Source organism: Homo sapiens, chromosome 14, assembly GCF_000001405.40.
Source record: "Homo sapiens chromosome 14, GRCh38.p14 Primary Assembly".
Taxonomy (NCBI): domain Eukaryota; kingdom Metazoa; phylum Chordata; class Mammalia; order Primates; family Hominidae; genus Homo; species Homo sapiens.
The window spans coordinates 33,535,466-33,551,923 of NC_000014.9; the positions used below are offsets into that span (position 1 = coordinate 33,535,466).

The 16,458-nt window shown below is 39.4% G+C and overlaps 1 protein-coding gene across 19 annotated transcripts in view; it reads left to right on the forward strand.

The window, feature by feature from the left end:
- Nucleotides 1-16,458, forward strand: part of NPAS3 (neuronal PAS domain protein 3) — an 869,389-nt gene that overhangs the window by 600,681 nt on the left and 252,250 nt on the right. The gene's annotated exons all lie outside the window — the stretch shown is intronic.

Consider the following 16,458-nt stretch of genomic DNA (forward strand, 5'->3'; position numbering starts at 1 on the left):
ATGCCTTTTTAAATTGTGTATCTATAAACTGTAGGTTTCAAGAGAACACCGACTATCTGCCTAGTTCATCATCTTCAGAGCCTAGTACCTGGGTTAGTTCCCAACACATAGTAGTGGCCCAATAAATACCTAATGAATTAATCAATTAACATGTTCATCAGAACATTAGTAGAATGCATCTCTGGATTATGGATGATTTTTTTATATTTCTATTTTTGCTTATTTGTATTTTCTGAATGTTGTTAATGAAGACGAATTACTCTTAAAATTTCTTAAGCCATTTTGCCATTATTGAAAGGTCTTTGGAACCTACTTGAACTTTTATACTTATTAGTTTTGTTAGTAAATATTTTATTCACAAAAATCTGCTTGTGCAGACATACAGTTTGAGCCTATTTTTCTATCAGCATTGATGGATTTAAACTGACCCAGCCACGCTCTCTGCCCTATCCCTCTGTGACTGAGAGTGCTATATATGTTTAGAGGCCACTGGTTAGCATCAGGAATACTCTCTTTGGCCATAGAACAGAGTAAAACCGCTGGAGAGAGGCCTCTGGCTCCTGACTTTGGCCTCGTATGCAAGTTCTCTAAACAGCTGAGCTAACCCCTACTAGTGCTAATAAGAGTTTGTAATTAGACCTGAGGTGAACAGAACTAAGCGTTCACCTCCAGCTCCCTACCGTTCCACAGCAATAATCAAACCTGAAGACATAGAGAGAGCTGTTTGATTCATAAATATGTAAAGTGGATAGAATGATACATCTCTGTTGAGGTTATGATATGAAATTCTTATTTGTAATTTTTTAAATCTTCAATGATAGATACAACAAAACTACAATTATTATTTGTTAAAAACCATAGTTTAAAATGTTATTTTAAAAGATTTTTATTTTCTATATGGAATAGGGTAATAATCATAAACAGTAGAAGAATAGAGTCATAATTTATGACTGTGCAGAGTGCTAGATTGTATTTTTTCCCAATGAAATGCAGAGATAGAAAAATATTATCATGATTTGTGTTATAACACTGGAGTCAGAACTAATACGAAGAAGTGTTTCCTCAACTTGATGCATGGGCTTTAGCTATGCAGTTCCCATCAGCACTAATGGGAGATTCAAGGCTAAACCACCAAGGATAAAAGCTAGACTATAATGCAAGATTTGGAGATGTTGCCCATTTGAGAACTGGTTTTCATTGTTATTTTATGTGCTTTTTTATGCTTTGGAGGTTCCTGCTGTTATGCTTTTAAAATTCTACTTTCAGATATGGTAAAAAGATAACCTTTCATAATAAATAGAAGATGTAGCCAAGTTTTTCTATGTTTACCAATAAAATTATATAACGGATTACAATTCCAACTAAAACATAGGTCCAAAGGTTTGACTAAGATATTGCTCAAATACCTTAGTCAAATTTTCTAGACATTTGAATTTTCTAGACATTTCACACAATGTCTAGAAAATTCAGTTACCCATCTCTTTGAAAAAGAAATTGGTGTATGTTTTCCTGACAGTCTATTCAATTACTGGTCTACTTTTTTCCTGAAATATTTTCATACTTCAGCAGTACAGCTATGTTACGAAAAAACAACAAAATCCCTAGAAGTTAATATATCTGACAGGAATGGTAAGTCAATATGATGGTGTATATCTTCCCCCTCCATGTAGACAATGTTCCTGGAAGGAAAATTTAATCTTCTGTGGCTAAAATAAATGAACATTTTTGTCTTCTGCTTAAGATCAATAAATGAGTAGATTTTGCCTACATTAATACTTCTGCTCTATTTTAATTGTTGTGTATTTAACTGATGGCAGCTTCCCTAATTTAGGGCACATTAGAATGTGCCAACCAATTCACTTTTGAGGATTAAAATGAAACAAATCAGTGTTTCACTTTGATATGCTCAAACAGAAAAAATCTCCTAGGGTGGATTATTGTTAATGGTAAAGTGGTAAGTGGAGGTTTCAACACAGGCATAAACTTTTAATTGGCCAGTTGTTTGAAAATATGGCTAGTTCATAGATTAATGGACGTTAATCAGAATTGTAGTTTCTTTATATTCAAACCAAAGCCTCTTAATATTAAATATACCAGTGAGATCATCAACCTTATTTTAAATGATCACACTGCGAGAGCCATCGTGAGTGGTGATAATGATGCTAAATGAGCAAGGTAGTTGAGAAAAATAAGCATACAGAATCATTCTCTAACTTCTCAATTATACCCAACCCCTAGAGCTCCACTGTGAAACCACTGGTGCTGGGAGAGTAGGGACCCATTTGACATTGGACGGGAAGAGCTGTGAGCTCGTGAGTCACTCCAGACACCCATGCCAAGGAGAGTGCTCTTTTGAGAGGCAAGCCACTGCAGAGAAGAGGGGAGCCTGGGGGCTTAAGGGCCTTATGGAGCACAGAGCACTGCTCGCCTTGACGATCTGAGCTAGCATCTGGAGTCTCAAGCTGGTCACCTTGCCTCAGCCAGGTGGTTCATGTAGCTTTTAATTATCAACAGAGCTTTAGTCTTCCCTGCCCATAAGCTAAGCATCGGGTTGTGGTGGCATAGACCATAAACCTGTGCAGACCACTTTACATTGGAACACGAATTAATGAATATATGAGTCCCTTTTGTGTCATTTTGGCCAACCAAAAAGAAACTCTTATTGTTATGTATGTAGGTACTGTCATGGGTGTTAACTGGTTGTCCTTATCCCATTCAGCCCCACTTTAAGGACCCTAGATAGTAGACCCATACAAGGCTTGTAGCTCAAAGGTCCTAAAGGACCCAATGGTTACTGGCCACTCCCACACAATAATACCAGAAAACTAATAATGCTAAACCAAAAGAACCTTGAGAAGTTCCCTCTGCTCAGAAGTATATGGCTAGAGTCAGACCTTCTTCTCCCTGCTCTGTTGTGCTGTTAGCACAGCAGCACTGAAACCAAAACATAATAAAACTCCGATATCCCTGCATTCAGCAGTTTACAACTCTCTTTGGAACAGAAGAGTAAAGTAATTCCTTAAGCAGTTTGTCTCTTACAGTAGTCAGTCTTGGACAGCTGTCAACAGAAAAACCCCAAGTTATCTAATATTAAAATCTGCTGTTGCAAAAAGACTTGTCACCTAAACCTTGGCATTAGGACTTATGAGAATTATTATTATTAATATTAGATAGCACTGACAAGTATTTGGAAAAGATAGGGTAACCTAGGAGAGTGGCATCCCGTTTCTCCTCAATACTGCCTTTGAATTTACTTACATAAAGGCTTGATTAAAATGAAAAGTTTTTGTTTTTCGGTAAGTTGAGAAAGCAGTTCCCCTGTAATGCAACCTTAAGACAGCACAAGTACTCATAATAATTGTAAGACCCTACACTTTTTTCTTGAAAATCTCATCAAACCTTACCCACCCCCAACATTCTATAATTTACAAATCTGTCATAGAGTCACATAAGATGATAGGATTTCTGTGACAAAGCATTTGTGATTTTATCTTTATTTTATTTGCTTTTGAGTTGTTTACTGTTTTCCTTATGCAGGCAACCTCTCAAGCATCATCTAGCTGACTCTTATTCTTTGTGTATCCTGCGGAGGGAGGGGGAATCAATGAAGCTCGTTGACTCTCAGGGGGAGAGGTGAGTGAGGGAGAAGAAGATTGTGTAGGGGAAGGAAACGTTTCCTGTCTCAACATTGCGGTGTGCATGGGCTGAGCCAGATGGAAACAGAGATGCCAACCTTGCTGCTCTGCTGGGTCTACTTTTCACTGAAGGAAGAGTATGGCTGGAGGCATAGCTAGGGAAGTGGAGGGCAGGGGTTCAGGGCAGGATTTTTTCAATCACCACTGAAATTGGAGAGATATGAACATGAACTCTTAAGAGGGAGGTGATGTGGTCTCCAAGAAGGCAATTAAGTAGACAAGAAGTGTGGGAATTAGGGATCAAAACTGTACGGCAAACAGGTTGAGTGGTCTTAGACAAGTTACATTTAACCTCAGTGTCTCATTTTCTGTATACCAAGCAGAGGTAGTGTTAGAATTAATTAATTTCGCAGGGTGCCTTGGGATCCACTGACGAAAGACTGGAGCAGTATAGAAGGAAGTTTCATGTTGCTGTTACGGTACTAGAAAAAGAAAAGACTCTCCATTTACTTTCTGCCCATCCCCAAGCCCCACGTCCCACAAAAAGAAGTGAAAGTAATGTGTTGGCTTCATCACCCAAGTATCCATGCACACTTTTCTTTCAAACCTTGCTTTGAAAACCAATGGCATGTTTCTATTGTTAACATTCTCTGTGGGCCTGAGCTTTCAATAATTTTATTCTAACCCTACAGTTAGTTCTTAATATTATGCAGGCTAATAAGGTCACTGTTTGGGGGGTTTGTCTTTGTTTGGTTGCTTGTTTTTTAGGATATTCTTCTATCATAACACTTGTGTACTAATTCCCCTAAACTTCTTTAAATTTCCTCAAACTTGACCTTTGAACAGAGAAAGTCTGCTGTTTCTGAGGCTGACCACGAATGCATCCTCACTCTGCCTTCACCTCTCTTTATGGTTGCTTTCTCTTTTTTGGCAGAACAGAAATTTCCAAGTTTTGTGTGTTTGCTTACAAATAAACGACTCAGCTGTGTCCGCATCCTTTGTGTCAATGTGAACATTCCCTTGTTCTATGTTTAGCTTGAATAATTACCAAACTGTTTGTAATGAGAATGTGAGGATGTGACCTCACAGCAATTTTTTCATTTCCTTTCTCTGTATTTAATACATTTCAGAAACTGAAAATACCAAATCTCTGTGCTTTTTTTTCTGATGCTTATCAGTAATGGAAACATTGCAAAACAATCAGCCCAATACCTATGCTTTGTTCATTTATTGCCTTCTCTGAAGATAAATGGACTGTACTCAACTCTCTTCAGCATTTTTCTTCACCTAGATATTATTGCCTTGTGCAGCCACCCCAAGGTGACTGTTATCACTTAATTAAATCCTTGCACGCTGGGAAGAAAAAACAACATTGTTCCTTCATAACCCCAAGGAGCCTATTTTTAAGCCACTAAGCCTTTTCCCTGTTTTATTAACTTATTCCTGGCTACAACAAGACATACTTTTGTTGATGAGCAAAAGGTTGTATTAGCTTTTTATTTTCTGGGTAAACTTATCTATTCTCTGGGAATAGGGAAAAAAAGAATGGGCATGACAAGAGAAGGGGGAAAAATGGGGTCTCTTCAACCTCCCTCGTTCTAGTAAAGGTCTCTGTAAACACTGAGCTGGAAACTAGAAGCAGGGGATTCAGGGAAGGGAACGAGAAAATAAAATGTAAACATAAAATGGGAACAAGACTAAAAGTAAAATGATGAGACTGTCTATTGGGGAAAACGTGACAGGTAGCGGACACCACTTTCAAGCTAAAGAAACCAGGCGTGGAAGTTGCATTTTTTGAAGAGGGATTATCTCCTGACACCTCTTTTTGTTGCTGGCTTGGACTAGCATCTTTTTATTAATCTCTTGTTTAATGCGTTTTCCCCCCCAAGTCAGGATTTCTTCTTTACTTTATGGTATTAGGCATCCATGATCAACCAGTTCTATACCCAGTTATGTTTCAAGGAATGAAAGAACTATTGTTGGGGTATGTTTAGAGGTGTGTGTGTGTGTGTGTGTGTGTGTGTGTGCATGCACACACACACATTAGTAATAGGAACACACAACCTGTAATCAGCAGTTCTAAGTGCAGCACTTGATATCAGAGTTCACTTGCTGCAAAGGAAGTTACTTGTTCATGCATAGTAAATTATGCACCTTTTAGTTTGTTTCTAGTCCATTAAATCTTGGGCCAGAAAATGGGTTTGTCACTTCTAAAATTTGGACCCAAGCAAGCATATGTGTTTATTCATGATGCTAAATCATTTTCCCACACACTGTGTTCACCAACAGAGTAAATGCCGCTTAAAGCTGTCATATTGGCAAGAGCAGTTGATGCAGTGACAGGCTGGGGTTGGATAGAGACCTGGTTCTTAAATAGTCAGGTAATTAAGATATCTGAACCATCCCTGATCACTGCCCACAGGTTACACTTTTCTTAGCTTCACGCATAGAACATGTGATTGGGAAAACCGATGCACTCCCTGAGACAGTGTAAGGATACTCGTTGGCTCAGTGGCTGTCTCTAAAATGGGAAGAGTGTGAACACCTCTAAGAGGATGTAAGAATGAGGCCAATAATGCCTGTGAAAATTCCTGGAATGAAAGGGCTATCTGTACAAACACCAGGAGTTTTTCTCTTGCTTGGTCCATAAGACCCTCCAATGCTTACTTGGAGTGGTGGAGGATCTTCATGCTTTGCCTTCTTGGATTTGGGTCAAATCTGCTGTAGTTTCCAATTTACCAGCTAAACCACAGACTGTGGGGATGTGCATACCTGCCCACTCACTGTAGTGGATTGGTTTAGCTTTTTCCCTCTGCAGGTTAATTTTTTTTTCTTTATAACAGCATTATAGACATCTCACTGAGGCAGGTTAGCCTCCGTCTCAAGACAGTGCCCTTTGTAGTAGCCACCTATTTGACTCTCACCCTGAACTATGTTTGTCTGAAGAGCTTGCTTGGTACCATGATGAAGTTAGTATGAATGTATATACATATTTGGCTGCAAATTTCAGTTTTGCTGGCCAGAAACTCTTCATGGCTTTCTCCTGACAACTTTAGAACACAACATATATTCACAAAATTAGTGATCATTTAGTGTCTGCCTGTCTCTCACACCTCAACGTTTAGGCAGGGTCTTTCTCAAGCCATACTCGCCAGCAGTATAGGTCTGGCCTGTGAGACTGTCAAACCAGGAGGCAACACAGTTTTCCTCAGTTGCCCTTTTTTTGTCCTCGAGAGTCCTCACTGTCACTTCCTTGAATCCTTTCCCACCCCAGTTATCCACACGTCATCTGCCCTTCCTGAAACAGAGAGGTGGCTGCTGGCCTTGGCAGACAAGCCTCCTGTGTGTTCTCGTCGCCCCTCAAGCTCCTCCAGGTTCAGGGATGCAGTCCTTTCAGCCGTTTCCTATTAGTCTTGTTTTTCAATCATCTCATCATTTTTTTTCAGTTCCCTTTTGAGCCCTTTCTAAGTTCTTCTTTCAATAAAGTGGCAATCCCCAGAACTGAATTTACTTGAGATCTAAACAGTGCCAGATAAGAAGAAAAATTAACTTAGGATTCTAAAATCAAATGTCCATGGCTTCCACTTTACAGGCATTTAAGTAAAAAATATTGAGTTGATCACTTGCCCCGTGTAAACAAAGAACTGGATGGTACACGTTTGCCTGAGTGCGCACGCACATGATGGGAGGGAGGTGCTGGCCTTCTGCAGGGCCACAGAGAGCAAGAGATACTCTCACAGACACTGTGACCACTGCTTGCCAAGCATGAGGCAGCCAGCAGCCTTGAAGTCACTCACAGGCCTCAGTGCGTGGGTGTTATTTGAAGGTAGACAGAACTGGACTTGGGAAAAATTGTCAAGGGGATGAAAGGCTTTAGCATCAGGTGTTTTCTTTTCTCCTTCCCCATCACCCCCAGACATGCCCTCCTGTCCCCATGATGATGAACGTGCAGGCCAGTGCTTTGTGCTTGGAGGGCACAGTTGCTAAGGGAACGCATGCTGATGAAAAGAGAACCTTGCCAAGTGTTCATTTCCTCCTTCCCTCATCTCTTTCTGTGTTCTCATGACCCAGCTCTCATCTGAAACACAAACTGAGTTTGAGGAAGCTTAGGAACAGTCTCCCCTCTAGCCCACACCCATTTTCATCTGCTTCCAGTTATATATGAAGAGGGGACAGTGGAAATAATCCAGAATCAGTATAAACCCATTATACTGCTAGTATGTTTAAGTAGAAACTTAGCAATAGAAGTATGTTGCTATTGCTATCTTTACTGTTTTAGTACCTAGAACCTTCCCATTCTTTCTTCACATTCTTTATAGATTTTATATCAGTCCATTACACTTTGGCCTGAAGGAGTGTTCAAATACAACTGATTTTTCTGGGACTACTAGATGTCTGTTTCCAGTATTTGGGGGGCATAGAAGAATTCCTTGAGGGAAAGAGTGGCCCAGGAGTCACCCTTTGTAAAACACTGCACCCACAGAATGGGATCTACCCAGTGGATTATGATCCACCAAGGTTTGGCTTAAACCACACTTAGCTGACTGTCAAGTCCAGCCACCTCCTCTAGGTTGGCTTCATCTCAATCAGAGAGGACAACAATCATCTTCTTGTCCCACCTCTGCTTTGAACATCACCTTGAGCACTATCATTCTGCTCTATGTCTCAGGGAATTCAAACCTACAGGGGAGTGAGTGGCAGCTGTTTGATATCAAAAACTCAAGAATCTCTGCCATGAAAGAATGGGGTCCAAGTCAATTGCACTACATGCTGCATGGCAGCCTGAATTTCAGTTCCCAGCTGTGTGATCTCACTTTCTTCATCTCAGACAGGTATGGCAAAGTGCATATATATATATATATATATATATATATATATATATATATATATATATATATATATCTATATCAGGAATAGGTGCTGAGGATTGAGTGGGTTAGTTCATGTAGAGTCCTTCTCCCAGGGTCTGGCACAGAGACCACCTCCATAAATGCTATCTGTCACTGTTAATATTATTATTAAAATCTTTTTATGATTTGGGGTCTATTTATTTATATTTAGAGACAGGGTCTCACTCTGTCACCCAGGCTGAAGTGCCGTGGCACCATCATAGCTTGCTGCAGCCTTGAACTCCTGGGCTCAAGCATTCCTCGTACCTTGGCCTCCCAAAGCACTGGGATTATAGGCATGAGCCACTGCACCCAGCTCTGGTGAATATTTAATACACATACATATATATGTGTGCCATAGACTAAATTGTGCCCCCACCACCAATTTATATATTTAAGCCCAAATTCCCAATGTGACAGTGTTTGGAGATTTTAGGAGGTAATTAAGGTTAAATGAGATTTTAGGGATAAGGTCTTGATCCAGTAGGGTTTGTGGTCTTATCAGAAGACGAAGACAGAGAGAGCGCTCTCACTATGTCTGTCTCCCACCATGCACACACATCAAGGAAAGGCCATGTGAGGACACAGCAAAAAAGGTGAGCCACACCCTTCCACAATCTAGGAAGAGAGACCTCACCAAAACTGAACCCTACAGGCACCTTGACTGTGGACTTCCTGGGCTTCAGGCCTGTGACAGAATAAGTTTCTGTTGTTTAAGTCACCCAATCTGTGGTATTTTTTTATGGCAGCCCGGGCCCACTAAGACAACATATGCATGTATGTGTTTATGTGTGTGTATTATATATATATATATATATATATGTATATATAATATATATGTGTATATATATATTATATATATGTGTATATATAATATATATATGTATGTATGTATGTATATATTGTGGTATGTGTATATAGATCCTAGAATAGTTCTTATTTTAAAATGGTCATGCTTATAAAAATCATTTTTCTCCTATGTCTCTGTTTGATTCTTTTCATCTTCTCATTGACATTAATGTTCTGCCCAAGTGTCCCACCCTGTATTTCCTTAATTTGTCTCTTTCCATTAATTTCTGCAATCCCTGAAGTAAACAAAGTCTTTCTCTCCCTTAAAATTGTTTGTCTCCAAACTTGTTTTTTTGAGTTGTAAAGGGAAATATTTTTGACTATGATGAAACCTTATCTCAGACATGACTATTGAGTTTTTTTCTTGCTGTAACATTAGTCTCCTGTCTCCTATGTAACACATTTAGTTTAACTGCCCTTAGTAGATTATCCTACACTTCCAAGTGTATTTTTCTCCTTACGAGTAGATAAAACCCACAATTACTAGCAGACATTCTTCCTAAATCAGGGTCCCAAGTCAAGTAATAGTCATCATGGGCACCATTTATTATATACCTGCTGTACGATGACACTTTTACGTGTGTTAACTCCAATCATCTCAACAACTCTATTGACTGAAATGAATAATATATAGATGTTGTTCTTTACATTTTCCTATGAGAAAACAGTGAAGTTGTTAAGTCAGAATTCTAGCTCAGGTCTATTTGAGTTCAAAGCTCGTGTGTCCTTTTGCATTACAGCCTGCTGCCTCTTGAAATGTTTGAAGTGTTCCCATTTCAAAGCTGAACATGGAACTTGTTCAGCTCTGGCCACATAGGCTCTTTAGCATCACTGAAGGAATTGAGAAAACAAGGCCATAGATTGTTCCATCTTCTCTATCATTGTCTCATTTTAGAGTCCCTCTGAATCTGACCAGGGACTTTCTGATAGAGTCATGGTTTTCATGGTGAAGAAAACTAGAGGGTGCGGTCAAGAGAGGTCACTGTATAGTGCCAGATCTGTGAGCCATAAGATATGGCCTCTGGCAGTGTATCTCCCTTGCTGAGGATTTTTTCAAGAGCTGAAGCAAGTCCATTCCTGCTGAAAGCCACAGAATGTGCTCCTTAGCAATGATCGCAGTCAAGGGAACCTGCTCTCAGAAGTAGTTCATCTGCCTGATGCATCTCTTCTTCATTCCTCAATCCTCTTCTTCTGGGGGCTCCTGTTAAGGCCTTCTGACTCTAGAAGCCTCCTCTGCCACACCTCTTAGTGAGGCCAGGAGTCTACCTCTATAGCATAGAAACCCCTGCCTGTTTTCTGGTGCTTTACCTAGGGCTGGAACGATATCCAGATTCCCATTTTTGTGAGAACCCTGGAAAGACCCTAGGCAGAGATATGAAAGAATCCATTCTCTTTAAACTACTCTGGCTGCTTACTGCATCTGCAATCCTGTTGTCGATTGACTTATGCAGAAAAGTGGTGAGAAGAGTCCTAATATTTCAGCCCATGTCCTCCAACACCGCAACACTTCCTCTACCAGGCATCACCCTGTAGCTAAGTGTTTAAGCCTATGAATAATCCGTTCAAACTTCCTAATATACTATAAGGGGCATTAGTAATAAGTTTCTTCCAATCACTTGCTGGATAACTCCCTACATCTACCATTTCCTTGTGTGTGTTCTAGTAAGCCAAAAGATTTCAGCCTTGAAGAAGCAAGCATAAATGATTTGTGGCAGATCCTGTAGGTTTTACTCTGTATAGTAAGCTATGTGGGACAGGGATTTTTATCCTGCTCAATATGTTGATTTTATGTGATAGTTTTGAAAATTTTAATTGTGATGACATAGTTATCACTAGGGGCCCCAATATAAAGACTTGCCTTTTGAAAACTGTGAAGGAATGGATTTCTTTGCTCATTGCCTGTGAGGATACGTTACTTGCACCTTGCTGAGCTTACGAGAAAGAGCTGAGCTTGTTGCATTATACAGTATTGAGATTAATGCTAGTCACTAGCTCATGTGAAATTAAGGATGTTGATAAACTGCAGACCTATGTCTACGTCTAGTACATTAGGCCTGCCTTGTGGGTCATGTCTGTGTGCTGTTTAGGAAAAGGCAAAATAATATTGGCTAACACTTTCATGAAAGGCTCCTGTCGTGGCAGGAAAGGAGTCAGAAAGGTAAAAATCTAGTGGAGAGGAGCAGCAAATGTCTTAAGCAAGTATAGTTAACCTGTAATGAGAGTAGAAGGCACATACAGAAAATGATAAAGACTTAAGGTTGTGTTTGTAAAACCCTTAATATATTTTTATTTGCTTTGGGATACAAGTCTTCCATTTGGTCTCAAAGGCCAGTTTGAGTCTTTAAGGACTCAGTCCTTTAGGGGAAGTCACTTTTCAGGCTGTGACACATTTAAGTAGAAATTAAAGTAGGTCATCCTGCTACTAAAGCACAACCCCCAAGCAAGACAATAAAACAAATCTGACTTGTTGGGAAGGGTCAAGGCTAGAATGAGCAAATCTCATTGGAGGCAAAAAGAGTCTATCCCCAATATTCAACCCTATGAAATTTACACTAGCCAACACAAATTCAGAGCCATTCTTGGTCTTCAAAATTTGTCAGTAATCATTATACACCCCCTGAGTCAGATGTATAAATGAATTCAGAGTTGGTTCACTGCCCTGGGTTCACATACAAATACATTTAGAGTAGGATTTACGGGAACATTGGCTGCGAAGTACGGTCCACGCTCTCCCTGCAGCCATCAGCCCCTCTTTCACTAAATGGATGAATGCAAAATGCAAACCAAAAGATGAAAGGAAAAGTGAAGAAGAAACAGAAGAAAAGTATGAAAAGGGAACTAAAATAAGAACATAGAAGGGGCACAAAGACAGCTGGTCCCAAACCTGTGCACTGTCGTTTTCCAGGCTATACCATCTGACATTGTACTTCCTCACTTTTTCAGGCTACTGTCATTTGTCAGGGAGGTTGCTATTTACTTAGAATCTAAGTTAGGTCTAAGCAACAGTTGTCAGGGGGATTCATTCTTCTTAAATTATTGGGACTTCATTCAAAATATCCTACAAGTTTGTATAAGAGTCTGTGGAAATTTTCTCAACTGTGAAGTTGATCATCTTGTAGTCTTCTGATTCTAGACTAAGATAACTACTACTGTAGTAATGAAAGTAAGTATTAGTTCATGTGCCCAGCTCTTAAAAGAAATCAGGCGGAGGGCCAAGTGAAAAAATAATACTTGGAAATTAATCAGTATCTTTATCCCTTCATGCAATCGTTGTTGGGAATTCGGATGCCTTTGACATCGAACATTGAGAAAGACTAAGTAAGAGGTGACAGCTGTGGCTGAACGTATTATTGCTATATATGGTTGAGGCCACTTTAGTCTACAATTAGTCTACAATTCTGCATGCTAATTTTAATAAGGCTAATAGTCATTGAGATGTAGACCGTCATTCATCAAATGTAGTGAATGGTGGAATATATCCATTTTTAAATTATTTTTGTTCTAACACATCTTCAGCTATTTAAGACAAAAGAGTGGGTAAATAATCATTGTGCACATTAGAATTATACTGAGATTATCGATTCAAGGTTTCTAGTGAGTGGATTATCAATATGACCAACTCCAGATTTCTTTTGGAATTACTTTCGATGAGCACATCAGTGTATTTGAATAGATCATGCATAACCTAGATTATTGGTACAGCAAATCCCTTGTAGGATGTGTAATGCTATGGCTGTTATACAACTTCAGTAAACCACATTGTTCTAATTCACTGAAAGCAGTTTACCCAGCGATTACTCAGGTGTGTTAGGTGATAAGGGCTCTGTAGCAAAAGTAGATTGTTTTGTGGCAATCTATTCCAAATAGCCCAATTCAAAATGCACACTAAGTTATACCTTCCCAGCAGGCTAACACTCTGTGCTGCTTAGGAAAAAGCAGAATGACAAGGTCTGCCCTTTGTTGGCTGAGATGCCAGCTACTGACCTCTGACTTCACCTAAAGAACCTAAGAAAGGGAGAGATCACATGTGTTGATAGCACTCTGGAACAGAGGGAAAGGAAAGGCTTTATCTGGACAAAAGCTATTGACACTTTCTTCTGCCCTGGGACATGTATATGGTAGCATTATTAGCTCCAACAAATGTTTCATCCCCAGTTAGTAATTACAGGAGCATATGTGAACATGTTTATATTTATTTATAACCAAATGTCCAGGCATCTCAAAATATATAGAACAAATCTGTGTCTGAAAAAAATGACCATCCAGTGACAATTCATGTACTAGATATAATTTGCTTTTTGATACCCACAATCTATTACTTGCATAAAACCTTTCACTTCAAGACAGCACTGAATTACACCTTTTCAAATATTTTTTAAACAAATTTGAGCACCTATTTTATTTTACTTTTGAGACGGGGTCTCACTCTATCACTCAGGTTGGAGTGCAGTGGCACAATCTCGGCTCACTGCAAACCCTGCCTTCCAGGTTTAAGCGTTCCTCCCACCCGAGTCTCCTGAGTAGCTGGGACCACAGGCATGTGGCACCAGAGCCGGCTACATTTTTTTGTATTTTTGATAGAGACAAGGCTTCATCATGTTGCCAGGCTGGTCTCAAACTCCTGAGCTCAAGCGATTCGCCTGCCTCGGCCTTCTAATGTGCTAGGATTACAGGCTGAGTGCCTATTTTAAAGAAAAAAACAATCACAGTGATTATTTGATACATCAATCAGATGGCTAAAACAGAAGATATGTGAGTCTATTATCTTTTGCTGTCTGATATGATAGGTCAGAAAGGCACAGAGATGGTCAGCACAGTGGTTTCCATGGTTTAGTTACATTCCTTGCCTTATTCAAATCACCTTAATATATCTGCGTTTACCTTCAAGGCAGTCACTTTAGACATTATTTTCATATTTTAGTTAGTTATACTTACCTTCTTCATAGACAACTTCATTCCCATGATTCCTGTTAAAACTCATTGAGATTTCGGTGTAATCACCTTTTGATCTTGCAAATTCAAGTAATGAATGGCCAATCCCTCTTCAGTGATAGCACTGAATTCATTTCCAGCCAGAATAGTCATCGAAGTACAATCAGAAAGAGGAAGAAAATTCCAGTTTCTCTTTTCACTTTTTAAAAAACAAACAACAAAAGATTCACTTTAGGAAGCCAGTGGAAAATACCAGAATTTGATTTTCTTCTTTACTAAATCATTCCACAAGATTACCAACACCAAAAACCCCATATCTCAGCTCAGTCCTTTCATTCTGTTCCTCAATTAGACCACAGAGAAGCCAGGATCAATACAGCCAAGCACCACTGTTGTTTTCTTTTGTTATTTGGGGTTTGTTTTGTTTTGTTTGAGACGAGGTCTTACTATGTTGTTCAGGCTGGCCTCGAACTCCTGGGCTCACACGATTCTCCTGCCTCAGCCTCCCTAATAAGCATTACTGCTTTTAATTGTATAAATTAAGACTGTCATTTAATGTACACTTAGCAAATTTGGTCCTAGCAAATTTCACAAGCTGAATTGTTCTACTTTGAAGGATGCCATCAAGAGCGTCACTGATGAAGATTTCTTACGATATTAGTTGTTATGTTCTGGATATAAGCAAGTATGTTAGCAAACCATAAAAATCTATAATCTTTTTTACTTCTCATGTGTTACATAGTCTGGCACATGGGGATAAAAGCAGAAGCATTTCCATTTCTTTGGAGCCTTGAATAGGATAAGAGCTCTGTGGACAGGCAGCGTACGCTGGTCCTTCTCACCTAGACTCAGCAGCCAACTGTGAAATGAAAGAAGGTTAGCAAAGCAGCCGAGAGCCATAGCAAATGGTAAACCATGTTGTTTATCCACAGATCATTCAGGACCAGGTCTCAGGTCCATCAGAATAATTAACTTCCCTATAAATATGTATCTCTGCTTCATATGAAGCTAAATTCTGGAGCTAAGGCAGTGAAGCAACATAGCCTCTAAGCGTCTGGAATTCACAGAAAACCAATATAAAGATTTCAGTATTGTAAAGTGAAGGACCCAGAAGAGGTGCAGTTACTCACAAAAAATTTTAAAAACAATTCTAAGCATTGTTGACTCCAGGAACTAAATACTAGTTTCTATTATCAGCCCATCATATTTATAGCTGTATGTGGTTCTACTAAAAATTAATTGTTAATTATATGAATGATACATAAAATAAAGAGCAAAGAACCTATTTACAATGATTTCCTGAAATTAACATAGAAGGGTTTCATGGCCTATGAATTATCCCCAACCAGAATTTCTGAACTATATTTGTAACCATCAAGTTCCTTTGAGTACAAATGTTTTTTAATGCCTTTTCTCTGGAGATACAAATAAAATGTTCCTAGAAATAAAACACATGATTGCACCAGATTAGTGTCTGCGGTCTCTAAATGGTCTTTTAATATTCTAAATTCATTAAGGGATTCTTTAATCATCGTTACTACTCCCGACACAAACCTCCTTACCTAAAGAAATACCTGTACAAAGCATTTATTATTTTGTCTTAAGAGCCTGTTTTTAAAAGTCTCCCACTGCCCAGTAAACAGTCAGGTTCACATCATAATTAGCCATAACAGAAGCACTGTGGGTTTCCCTGCCAACATCAGGGGTGTGTTTTCAGGTAAGTGAGGCTGTACTTTCAGGTAAATATGACTATAAAATAAATTTCTGTAGACTATCTTATTTTCACATTGACTTCTATATAAAATGGTATGTATATACTACCAGAGAAGGGGGAAAAAGCTAACATGGAAGTCTGAATGAAAAACTCTGGGACAGGAAATGGGGTCAGTGTTCTGGCCAGCTTGTATGTGGTGTGGTCCAGTCTTACATACCAGCTGCCTATTTGGAGATGTGGTTCTACTAGGGATTATTTATTACCCGTGGGGTCCCCTGTCCACTTCTGGGCTCTAGGATCTTCTTCCAACTCATGGGAATTTCTTCAAAGTCTGGTGGTCTTTTGACTGCATGTTTTCCAAATCGAGCACTCCACGCGTTTCCCCAAAACAACACCAACCTGCAAGAGGTCTGGAGCTGGGTCATCCAGGGGTCCCCAC